Source organism: Homo sapiens, chromosome 2, assembly GCF_000001405.40.
Source record: "Homo sapiens chromosome 2, GRCh38.p14 Primary Assembly".
Classification (NCBI taxonomy): domain Eukaryota; kingdom Metazoa; phylum Chordata; class Mammalia; order Primates; family Hominidae; genus Homo; species Homo sapiens.
The window spans coordinates 109,398,991-109,411,834 of NC_000002.12; the positions used below are offsets into that span (position 1 = coordinate 109,398,991).

The following is a 12,844-nucleotide window of genomic DNA, read 5'->3' on the forward strand; positions in this document are numbered from 1 at the left end:
CTATCCTCAGCTCCGTGTTCAGTGTCCCCCGTTCCTCAACTAGCATGGAGGCCGCCCCAGAACTGCCTTTTGGGGTTGAGTGGGGTTTGCCCTTTGCTGCCTGGCACTGGGGCCCCCCTAGAAGCGTGGAGAATGGTGAGTGTGCCCTCCCTGGTTCAGAAGATGGCCTCGTGGTGTGTGAGCTGATTTTCAGTGGTCCAGGGAATGTCTGAGTAACACCCACCCGCCTCATGACAAGCTTTTCCCCGTGTCAGTCGGCTTCCAGATGTCTGATTATGTCCTGGAAGAGTCTTGGCTTAGTGCTAGCATATTTTTACCATCTCTGCAATGTTTGCTAATTTCCCTTTCAAGAGAAAGAAGGAGTCAGAGCTCAGAATCAGAATCAACTACATTGTTGAGTACTTTCGTTACTGTTGTTTCTACAGATACCTTCTATTTCTAGACTCCATTTCCACTAGTTTTTTTTTTTTGTAAATTGAAGTAACCAAAGCAAAGTATTTAAAGGCTGGGCACAGTGGCTCATGCCTGTAATCCTGGGGCTTTGGGAGGCCGAGGCGGGAGGATTGCTTGAGGCCAAGAGTTCAAGATCAGCTTGGGCAAGACCCTGTCTCTACAAGCAACCAATCAGTCAATCAATAAAATAAAATAAAATGATTAAAAAAATTTTTAAATAATGAACAATATTTAGTAAGTACTTGCCTGTAGCTCTGACAAGACCCCTCACAGTGGCATGCACAGGGCAGGAGTTGGGCAAGTTTCCCCTTTATGAATGCAGAGACTGCAGCAGGAGATGGAAGGGGCTTTCCCAGTGCCCGGCAGGGTGACCCTGCAGCCACACTCCTGTGCCATTGTTGTCTGACCTTCTGCAGGACTGTGGCAGATGTCCATGGGTGAGCCCAAGGTGCCCACACAATGGTGCCCACTCCATTTCTCCCTGCGCTGCAGCCTTCCACCCAGCGGCCCACCCGCCACCACGCTCCACATTCCTTCCAGAGTCCCTCTGGCTGCCCTGGACAGGCCTCAGAGCAAGGGCGCTGATCTGCGGGGAATCATGGGGCAGACACCAATAAGCAACTGGCTGGGAAGAACTGTCTTATTCAAAATCACAATGAACTCAGACAACTTTACACACAGAATTGTCTTAAAAATTGCTGAGCTTCTGGAGAAGGGCCATGTAATCTAGATGTGCCACATCAGCCTAGAAATGCCCCCTACACACACTTGCACACATGCACGCACACACACACATATTACATGGACACTTGAGCACATGCCCGCCCGCACATATGCACTCCCACGCACATGTGCACTCATACACATGGCACACACATATACCTGCACACCCACACATGTGCACTTACATACACCGCCATCCACATGCACACCTACACATATACACATGCACGCACATATACACATATACACCTGTGCACATATGTGCACTTATATGCACCCCTTCCACATGCACACACATACACATGTGCACACACATGCGTACAGGTGCATTTACACATACACCCCTCCAGGTGCACACCTGCAGATACACATGCACACACACGTACGTATACACATACACACCTGTGCGCACACACACACACACTTGTGAACTTATATGCGTCCCTTCCACATACACACCCACACATACACCCGTGCACACATGTAGACATTTATACATGCGCACACACACATTGGTGGATACACACCTGCACGCATATGTGTGCACACACACAAACGCTGGCTCTCATCGGCGGCTGAGGCTGAGGTCTGGAATGGGTGCTGTAGTGTCTGGAGCTGTAACCGTGCAGTCATCTGCCCCCATGGTTACCCCACTGCCTGGATGCTCCCACAGCCTGTGCCTGGGAGCCATATTCCCCAGAGAACAGCCATTGGGGCTGCTAGTGCATTTTCTGTAAGGGGAAAAGCATAACCTTGGTCCCAACCCTAACTCCACTCCTGACCTGGGCTAAATTCTTCTTGAGCACCTCCTATTTGGAAATTCCTGGGAGGGGCATGGTGACCCAGTGGCGGACCAGTGTGGCTGTGCTCCCTGTGTGTGTGCACATCTGGGGGGTAAAGCCACAAGCAGTGGCTCTTGGAATAGTCTTGCTTATTCTTGCTCAAACATCCTTGACACCGGGCAGGTTGTCATGGTGGTGCTAAGACTGGGGGGAGCTCACCCTGTTTGTCACCAATGACAAAGTGTGATAACTTTGGCCCAGAGCTGGGGTCCCTCCTTGGCAACCTGAGCAACTGTTGGCGATGTGAACAGTCGAAAGTTGTGTTGTGAAACAAATTTGGCTCAAAGGGAAGTTGCAGCAGGTTTGAGGGGTACCCCTAAGAAGAGGACTGAGGAGCAGCGGCCTGGCCCTTGTGGACCACTTGGGTAGGTCGTTTGTCTCCTTCCTCCTAGAAGAGCAAAGGCCACTCTCACTGTAGTCAGGGACCCCCATCAACCAGAGGGAGGGCCCTTCTTCCTGATCACCAGCCAGAGATGGCCCTGGAACTGCCAGGCCAGTGCCTATCCTGACAAGTATCTGGCCTGTGTCCTGTAATTTGTGAGTAATATGTCCAAAGCTGCCCTCGGTGTTCCTTGGAGTTCTAAAAAAGGAGCCCACAGGGCCCATGACTTTGCAAAGCTGCTGCTGTGTCCCAAGAGGGCCAGGGGCATCTTCTCTGCCACTTTCCCACAGGCCCCTGAGATGTGGGCTCAGCACACACAGGTACAGGATCCGGTTTCCTCTCCTTCCTGCATCCTCACCTGCACCAGCCTCTCATGTTGCCATGGCCTCCGTGTTAAAACAAGCAGAGGGAACCTTTCTAAGCTCTCTGCAGTCTGATGTCTATTGGGGCTGGAAGGGAACAGATGTTTCTATTAATTTGCATACTACCTGGCTCCACAGGGATTAGAATTAGGGATTGACGGGACTGGGATCCTGGGATCCATTTTCCAGCAGTTCGACTTGAAGCGAAAGTCATGGCCAGGCTACTGACTTTAGTTTGGGTCACCTCAAAGGGCAAGAGGTCAAATAAAGCAGTTGCCGCCTGTCTCCCTGTCCTGATTTAATCGAGCTGCCGGGAGACAGAAGGGGCACCTGGTGCAGGTGTGAGCTGTGTATGCTGCCCCTGCGGGCTCCAGTGTGCTGCTATGGTCTGGATGTGCCCAGAGACCAAGCCCTCCCGGTCTGCCCCTGCTCTGCACTGCCTTCCTGGTTCCTACCACCTTGCTGGCCATGTGCGTCTGACCAGGAAGTGCCTGGCCTGAGGACTGGCCCATGGCAGCCAAGGCGAGCCAGACTCAGGTCCTGCTGTGACCACAGTGCTGCAGGGATTCTCTTCCCCACCATGCTGGCCACAGCCCAGGAGAGGGAGCCCAGGCCCAGGATTCTGTGGTCAGTGGGTGGCACTTCGGCTTTGATCATCGGCTTGGAGAAATTCAGCATTGCTGTGTCATGGGCTCATCCACAAACAGAGGCCCCTCACATGCCAGCACTGCCATCGTGGGAAACGTGGAGTGGACAGAGCAGGAAGGCCCGCAGCCCCAGGCTCCTCGGTGCCTACAGCATGGGGCAGTGCTGGCCCCAGCAAGGGCCACTGCAGCAGCCAGTCCCCTGCCTCTCACAGTCCCCTCGGGACCCAGTGTGTCCATTCAGGCTGTGATAAAGAACATCTTGACTGACAGGATGAATTCTTGGCACCTGGAGACTGGGGCTGTAGGGGAAGACAGGATGGTGAAGTGTACAAGGCTGGTCATCTGGACCAGGACTTCTGGGCCATGGGGGGCAGAGGATTACAGATCGTGGGTTGTGTGTCCCAGTGCATTTACTTTTGGGGTGAGCATGGTATCGTCCCTGGTAGTTATTGAATCCTCATTGAACGTTGCACTGGGTTCTGTAGAAAGGTCCAAACAGCAGGCGTCTGCCCTGGAAAAGCAGCTGGCTGGAGTGGAGATGGGCTGCTTGCTGGGCACTGTGCTGTCCAACGCATCGACTGCAGTTGATACACAGTCAGGGTGGGTGGGGGGATGTGGATGAGGAAGCCCCTTAGCTGGCCGAATTAAGGGGCTCTCGCTGTAATGGACTGGTTTTGCTCTTTCTTTGGTGTTGTCTTAAAATAGAAAGGAAGCGTGCGTCTGTGGTTTCTATAGAAATGCGTCTGAGGCACAGGGGACACTTCCCTGCTTCTCAGAGTGCCCGAGCACCATGAAGCCTGGGAGCACAGCCTGAGAGCCGCGCACTGTCCGAGGCTGGCCTCCTCCCCGCAGCTGTTAGGGGTGCGTCTGTAGTTTGCCTGTCCCCCATCTCTCCTTCGGCTTCTTCTGCTGATCTCACCTCCTCTGTCCTGGCTTGCATCACTTCTCAGCTTCCCCGACTGTGTGGCCCACCTCACCCCACAGTGAGCCAATTGTTCATTGTTTCCACTTCAGAGATGAGGAAGCCGAGGCCCCAGGGGTAGTGGTGACACCTCAGGGCTGTACTTCTGTGCCAGCCCTCCCTGGCCTTCCAGGGCCCCACTCTTGTCAGGACATGGTTATCACTTAACTTTCCAGTTTACTCCATAAAATGCACAGGGCTGACCTCAGGCCAAAGGAGACACGCAGGAGAATGCCAGCAGGTCCCTGCGGTGCTCCATAAAGTGCCCCTGCTTTGCTTTTCTTTTAGGCTGAGGCCAGGCTCAATGCAGGGTGCTGGGGTGGAGGTGCAGGCTCCCTCTCTCTAGCTGTGTCACCCCAGGAGAGTTGCTGAACCTCTTGGAGCCCTGCAGTTAAGAGCCAGCCTCCAGAGCCAGACGGCCAGGTTGAGCACTTATCCTTGCACCTGCAACCTTGGGTAAGCTGCCTGACCTCTTCCCAAAAACTCCCCTACCTGTCTGTGGAATGGAGCCAAGCTGTGCGCCCCCACCATGGCCACTGTGAGGGTGGAGTGAGGGCGTGCGTGCGGGCTGCCCTCCTTGGTAGGTGTACCTTGAGTGTTGGCTGTGGTGGCTCTTTCTGCTGCTCAGGGAATCAGGGAATGAATCACCAGTCCAAGACACCAGGCACCAGACACATCATCTCTAGTCACTGCTTTCTGCTCCAGGAGCCCATCTCTGGCTTGGTGCTGTGCTGGGTCCTGGAGGTTTTGGAAAGCTGGTGGTGGGTAAGAAGTGGGTGTGGCCGAGACCACTGCAGGATGGGAAGGAGGGGAAGTAAAGGAAGGAGAAGAAAAAGTGTCAGAGACTGACACCCACACAGCCTGAAATATCCACTGTCAAGCTCTTTGCAGGAAAGGGCTTTAGGCTGAGGCTTTGTTGATGAGAATGCTGAAAAGGAAGAGCTGTGAAACCGAGGAGAGAGCTGGGAGCTGTGTAAGGTGAGCTCGAGGCCTGGCGGGGAGTGGGGTGCCGATGCAGAACAGGCCAGCGCCTGGCCTCTGAGTAGCCATGTGGGAAATGCTACAAGTTCGAGACTGGGAGTCTCAGCAGCCACTCTGCAGGGGCAGGGACAGGGGACAGAAAGATGGGGGAGTGGGGCCTAGACGGAAGTTTTGCCGGGCCTAGGCTGGCCACAAGCACAGTCAAGGTCGCCAAGGAGCTGCTGGGGCTGGCCACTGGGCACCTCCCAGAGGCTGCCACGGGCACACAGGGCCTGGGCAGGTGGGGTGTGGCCCAGGCTGGCGGCCAAGCAGAGCTGACCCCTCTCCCACCGGGTGCCCCCTCCCAGCACCTTTGCGGAAGGCCCATTCTCATTCTTCTCTCATTGACCTACTGCTTCCTCTTTCCCATGGATGTGCTCGACTCTCTGCAGTCCGATCTTGCCCACCACCCCTGCTGCTGAAGCTGACCCAGCCACAGTTACCAATGCCCTGTCCAGCATCCTCCTTCCTCATCCGCCATCTTGACCTCTTGGCAGCACTTGACGCTGTGGACAGCACCCCTTCCTGAACCTGTCCCCTTTGATCTGTGCCTCTTCTTTCCAGTGGAGCCCCGTCCTGGCCCCTCCTGCCAGACCCTCTTTCTAACCCCTATGTCTACACAAATACCCCCCACCTTCTCTTCCCCTACATCTCTAGCCCCTACATCTACACAAATACCCCCCACCTTCTCTTCCCATCCTGGGCATACTCACCCATGGGGGTTCACCCTCTCCAGAACCCCAGCCAACGTCACCTGCCAGCACCTCTTTTAAACTACAGATTCTCTTCTCCAACTACCTGCTGGCTTCCTGGAGAGACGCCTCAACTTCAGCGCATGCCAGGAGCAACCGATGACACCCCTCTTTCCGCAAACCTGCTTCCCCTTCTGTATTCCATCTGTTCCTCAAGGAGTCACCACTGTCCTTAGGTGCCCTGAGCTAACACTCTTCGTCTTCGCTAATACCCTTCGTCTTCCCCAACACTGACTCCCTGCCCCTGAGTTCCCTCCTGAGTCCCTTGGAAGGTTCTGGGGAGCCTTCAGACTGGCCCTTGGTTGCCTCTCCAGCTCCCGGCAGCACTGTCCATTCCCGTGAGCCTGTGCAGATCTTCTCCCTGCGCACCACGCTGCTCTGGCCCTGGTCCATTTCTCCCCGAAACTGCCGTAGCTAATCCCTTCCCACCTGCCCATGTCCCTTTTGCTGCCCCTCAGCATGGCATTCTACCTACCAGGCAACACACAGACACATACCTGTGCAGAAGGCTCCTGCCCGCCCTTCCAGACCATCTGACATGTTCACCTCTCCGCAGCTTTCTATGGCCCCATGTCACCTTTCCACCACCAAATCAATTCCCCCACTGTCTCTTTGCCTACAGGACTTCCAGTGTGCCCATGATGGAATATTATTTGTGTGTATGGCCATCCCCCCTTCCTCCCTGGGCTTTTAGGTCCTTGAAGGCAGGGCTAGGTGCCACTGGCCCACAGGTGGGGCTCTCACACGCTAGCTTCCTTGTTGGGTGGGCCACAAGACAGCACCGGCAGCATTCCTCACTGGATGGTCTTGTACATAAAGCAGCATGGTACCTGAGAGACTGTGTGGCCTTCCCCAACTCCCGCAGGCCCGGCTGCACATCGATGGCTGGGGAGAGGACACAGCTGCGGGGCTCTGGCTGAAGGTGTCCAGGGCGTGCAGCCGGCTGAGCCTCAGATGGCCCGTCCTGCTCATGTTTGCACCCCTAGGGATTCTTCCTCTGCGACTGGGAGAGGTCAGAGGCTCAGCTGGTGCTCTGGGCATAATGGAGTATCATTCACATGTCAGTGCTCTGCTGGGGGAGGGAGGTTAATCAGAGGAGAGGGAAAGAGGCCATTCAGGCCAACTCCACTATGACACATTTGCTTTTGAGGTTACTGGATCAAATCGGGAAATGATTGCTTACATTTTAGAAAAATTTCCTCATAAACCAAGTATGAAGTCAAGCAGGTGCCCGAGGACCCTAAATGGGCAGTCAGCTCTGGAGTGCCCAGGTCCATCACTGAGAGCAGCTATATCACGTAATAAGCAGCCCACGTTCTCGGAGGCACCAAGCTGTGAATGCTTGCTTCTCACTCATACTATGAGTCACCGGTAGAAGAGGGCTTGGCTCTACCATCCTCACCTGGGACACCAACAAACACCAGGCTGAGTCTAGCCACTACTTGTTTTGGTAAATGAAAGCTTTGCTGGAACAGGGTCACACACGCCCATTTGTATATCATCCGCAGCTGTTTTTAGGCCATAACAGAGATATTGAGGCGTTCTGACAGAGATTTTAAGACCCACACAGCCTGAAATGTTTATTACTGAGCCCATTACAGAAAATGCCTTCTGACTCCTGGTGTAGAATGTCTCCAGGACCATAGCAGGGGCAGAAATGAAGCAACCAGTGCAGAGGCTACATGGAAGCCTCTGCTCATGCGCATTTCAGTGGTCGAAGCCAATCTTACAGCCCCGCCCTGTTGAGGGGTGGGCACATGGAGTCCAGCGGGGCCTTGAGGAGAACCGTCCCCAGGTGCCACTTCCCTGCAACTCAGCAAGTTTGCATTTCTGAGCACAGAAGTTGGGAAGCTTCAAAGGAAGAGACGACACCTTTCCAAAGTAAGGCTAGTGTGGCTCTGACGGCTATGCTTGCACTGCTGTGTGCAAGCATATACCCACTAATACTGCCCATGAGTGTCCTGCCTCTGGGCAGGGGCTCTTGCTGGGTCCAGAGTGTGGTCAGATGCAGGCTGACTCGCCGTCCAGCCAGGACCAGCACCTTCATTGGCCCTTGCCAGCTTCTCTGTTCTGGAGAGCACCATGGCTTACAAATTACCTCCAAATAAGCAACCCTTGGAAATTAGGAACATACCCTTTAAAATCAATGGAAGGGGAAGTGTTTGAAATTCAGCAGGGAGAACATCAAAAGACAGCATTTCTCAAGTCTCTTCGTGTCTGAGAAGTAAATGAGGAGAGTTCCTTATGGAAGCTTCTGGGCAACTTTAAAATGCATCACCACCTGCTATTTGTCTCTATGCAGCTTCCTGTGTTGGCTGGGTCTTATTATCTCTGCCACAGGACAGACAGACAGATGCTTCAAGCAGGAGGAAGTGCTGGGGAAAAGCTGAAGGAGCTGAAGCAGGACCTTCCTGCCTCAGGCCTGGCAGCCCCCAGACTTACTGCTTATAAGCTGTGCAAACTCCGGCTCCAGCTCCAGCTCTCAACTGCAGAGTACAAGCTGCCTGCATAGCAGAGCACCTGGGCTTATTTTTAGCATTTTCAGAAAGTTATAAATTTAATTACATGCCTTATAGGGAGGCAAAACAAAGTACCAAGTGAGCCTGGGATGAATAAAAAAAAAATTGCATTGTGAGAATCTTATACAAGAAAACTTTCTTCTACAAATCTGGAAATAGCTGTACCTCCATGACTTACCAATCCTGGCCTTTAAGTGGGGACAGAGGACACCGTGGCTGCCTGTGACCTGGCGTCCTGATGATTTTTGTCGATTGCAAAGCTTACCAATCACAGTGCAGGGTGCTGGCAGTGTTTCTTTTGCTGCTATGACGAGCTAGGAACCAGATCCACGGGTTTCTGCCTGTGCCTCCAGGCCATCCTTGGGCAGAGTCAGGAAAGATCCTTGGGTCTTCTTGGCATTTGGAGAGCATCCGGGAGCTCTGGGTGGGCACTTGCTGGCTAGCAGCACAGAAGAGTCACTCCCTTGTCCTAGCAGCTGTTGAAGCCACATCCTGCAGGGATCCACAGAGGGTTGTTCATGAATGCCCACCGGTAGGCCCCATGGGACCCACCAGGAGACTAGCACACAGTCCATGCCTCAGAGGGTGGAAAGGAGGAAGGGCCTCGATCAGTACAGGTAAAGCAGGAGGAAACCAGGCCACTGAGGTCGGTGTCCTCAGGGCTGTAATGTGAAGACCCATGATGGCCCTGGACGGGAGGACTGTGAGGAGCTAAGAACCTTCTCCACCCAGATCTCCTGACTGCCTCACCCTCCCTCTGCCAGAGCTCATCTGCCCTCCCGCTCCAGGCTAAACCACCTACCTCCCCACAGGCATTATCTGGATGCAGTGTGGGTTTGGGAGGCGAGAAAAACGGGGTCCCACACGCGCTCACGCCCAGGCCGGGTTCGCTCTCAGGACCTCGTCCTCCCATTCGCTGTCCCCTCTACCAGCCCGTGAGCTTCGCTGCGGCAAGAGAGTGCTTTCCCTCTCTGTACAGGCAATGCCCCGCACTGGCACTCTCAGACAGAAGGATGGATAGACGGACACACTGAATTAGAGCTGAACAAAAGGATTTTTCAAAGTCCACCCCTCCTGCAGCCACCGCCTGTAAAGGAGGCACTTTCTGTTTGAAGACAGAATGGATGCACAGTTGGATGTGGATGAATATTGTGCCTTTTATGCAAAGCTGGATGGAGAAGCCTCTGGCCTGATGGGTGCGCACAGGGAGGGGGGTCCAGGGCCTTCCTACCATCAGAGGCAACAGGCGAGTGAGAGCTGTGAGGAAGGCCATGAGCGGAGGCCATCCACGGCTCTTCCTGATAGAAGAAAGGCTCCAGGGCAAGATAGGTTGCTTCTTAGCTGAGGCTTGGGAAGCCCCGGGTAGGCGAGAAAGGGGTCCTATAACTTCCTTAACAGACCTCCCCTTTCCTTGTTGACGTTTTGAGATTTTCATTCACCAAACTGGAGTCGGGTTGTGGATGTTCTCCTCCCATATTCCACTGTTTTGATCCATTCGCCTTAGTAATATTGTGGGAATTCCTTGTTAAGCTTTTGATCACAACTTTCACTTTTTGGTTCCAGTTATTGGCCCAGTAAGACAAAGGCAGAAAGGGGAAGAGGTTCATCTTCTCATCATAGACACCTAGAGCAGGGGCAGCAAACGTTCTAAAGGAAGCAGCCAGATAGTAAATAATCTAGACTTTGCAGCCAGGTAGTATCTGCCGCAGTGACTCAGCTCCACCCTGCAGTATCAGAGCAGCTGGAGACAGCAGTGGATGGTGGGCATGGCTGGCTGCCAATAAAACTTTATTCACAAAAGCAGAACACTGGGCCAGATCCAACCTGTGGGTGAGAATTAAATATCCAGCAGCAAATTTGGAACTCCTACGGGGGCAGGTGGCTTGTGGGCAGCAGTGGAGGGGAGTTTTGGCCTCCATCTTCAGTGGTGAGCAAGCAGTTCCCCTCACCAGCTGAGAGTGCTGAAGTTATGTGGGCAGAAGGCGTGGCTGCTGCCTCTCCCAGGACAGACTCCCTCACTGGGGCTCCCCGGCCACTGCCCTCCCCGAGAGGGAGATCGAGAGGCACGCGGGGCCTCTGGCTACACAAGCTGCTTGCTCCTCTTTGCAGAATCAAGCAGAAGAATCAGCCATAAATGTTTTATTCTAGAGTTTTCTTTGGGAAGCAAGTTCATGAGGGTCTGATTTACACCCCGTGTAATGGAGTGGTAGCGAGTGATGAATAATGCATGCCCATTTCACTGCTCCTTGGGGTGATGACAGTGTTTTCTGGACTTACATTAAACATTTAAATGAGGAGATGTTTCTTCTTGGGGTCTTCATCTGTTCCATAGTGTCAAAGAAAGAGACTCGGAGCCCCCGTACAGCCTGCCAACGCCCAGACCCTCTTTTTTCCCTTTTAGTAATCCCAGCAGGGAACTAATACGGCCTGGTTCCCAGCCACTGCTTAGGGGCCCCATTAAAATGCAGCGGAGGAGGCTCTAGTGTCTGGTTACAACCTGGCGGTTTAGAATCGGGGAACCGCGGCCACAGCACTGCAGCCATTGCTGACACCAGGCTTCCAACCAGGGGAGGCTGGAATTTGATGAAACACATCGCCGTCACAGATGACAGCCCAATCTTTACTGACTAGCAGCTCCAGCGCTGTGTGCCATTCACCTGTGAGCTCTGTGACAGGGAGAGAGATGCAGGAGCAATGGAGCTTGCCTGGATCCAGGGCACTGCACAGTCAGACTGAGCTCCAGCCCTGACCTCGGTGCGGAGGGCCCCTGCAGCTCCGTGCACCCAGGGGGCAGCATCAGCGTGCACGCTGTCACTTTACTGTTTGCTTGTGCTAAGTTCCATCAGACAGGCCATCCTCTCCTACCTGTAGCCCTGCCAGCCGACCTTGCACTACTGGGCTCATGTGAAATGCTCACAGGCTGTGTTGTTGAGCATCCTGCCCGAGGGAGGGATTGCTGGAGTTGTTCTGTAGGGTCAGTGACTCAGAGAACTGGGCCACTGCATGTCAGCCAGCTCCTTCGGAACATGTGTGTCCACTTGCCTAGGCCAAATCCTGGCAGGTATCCATTATGGAGCCTTTTAAAAAGACCGTGGTGCAAACGTACTTTATTATAGTCAGAGCCCTTTCCTGGGCATGGGCTGCTAGGCGCGACTTCGTGGGAGACAGGGCTGCACTTGGCTTTGAAGTCGGAGCAGAGATTTCCATTGGATGATCTTGGAGATAGGATGAACATCTGTCTGAGGGCTGTGTCCCCAGTTATTTTTACTCAAAGGCACCTGGAGCTCTTTCTCTTTTCTTGTTTTATCACTGGCTGACTCCCTCACTCCTGCCAAGTCTTTACTAATCCCTTAAGGCCTAGAATCATTTAAAATTAAGCCATTAAAAATCAAAGCAGCATCAGAGAGGTGGCTCGTGGTTAGGAGGAAGCCAGGCCTGCGTCCAGGGCCAAGCACCATGGTTGGAGCTGGAGGCAAGGAGCCCTCAAGTCCCTGGTGTCACAGTCAGCAACTCTCAACCTCGTTATGAATACTTCAGGGGAGAGGCGCCATTGGTTGGGGGCTGAAAGTACATCCAGGCAGTGCGCAGCTCAGGCTTTGCAGGATGCTGGCCGTGTGGAAGTCTGTGCCTTTACTCAGGAGTTCCCAATTACAGTCATTTAAAGGAGAGGCCCCTTTCCCTGCAGTTAGTTCCTGCCAGGGTTAGCAGTGGCTGCTCATCTCTGCCCCTCAGCAGGCCTCGTGTTCTTGGGAGTCACATTCTGTACAGCTGGGCCTGTGGCCCCCAGTAGCGTGCTGCTGAGCCTGTCAGTGGGAGGACCCCTGACCCCCTCCCACCTTGGCCACCAGCAAATTGCTGCTCGTTTGCATCCGTAGCAACAGAGACCAGATTCAGAGGATGGACTGACCCCATCAGCATCGGGAAGCCACGACCAGTGTGCCACTCATTTCTTTGTACTTTTAGTTTTCATATCCCTGAGGGCAGAGCCCAGCCCAGCGTTGCCTCCTACACAGCAGGATGTCCCTCGCACCCCTCGCCCTGGGTACCACACCACACACCCATGCTAGGAAGGCCGGCCACACGGGAGCCACGCTCAGCCATGTCAGTTTTAGGCATTCTTCATCTTGACCTTTGGGAAAAAGCATTTCCACACATCTGACCTCTCTCTGCTCTTCATTCCAGC

General features: G+C 53.9%; 2 protein-coding genes across 5 annotated transcripts in view; both read left to right on the forward strand.

The window, feature by feature from the left end:
* Positions 1-12,844, forward strand: part of RANBP2 (RAN binding protein 2) — a 1,122,820-nt gene that overhangs the window by 679,509 nt on the left and 430,467 nt on the right. The window lies entirely within an intron of this gene.
* The window catches only part of SH3RF3 (SH3 domain containing ring finger 3), a 375,430-nt gene that overhangs the window by 269,786 nt on the left and 92,800 nt on the right, over positions 1-12,844 (forward strand). The window lies entirely within an intron of this gene.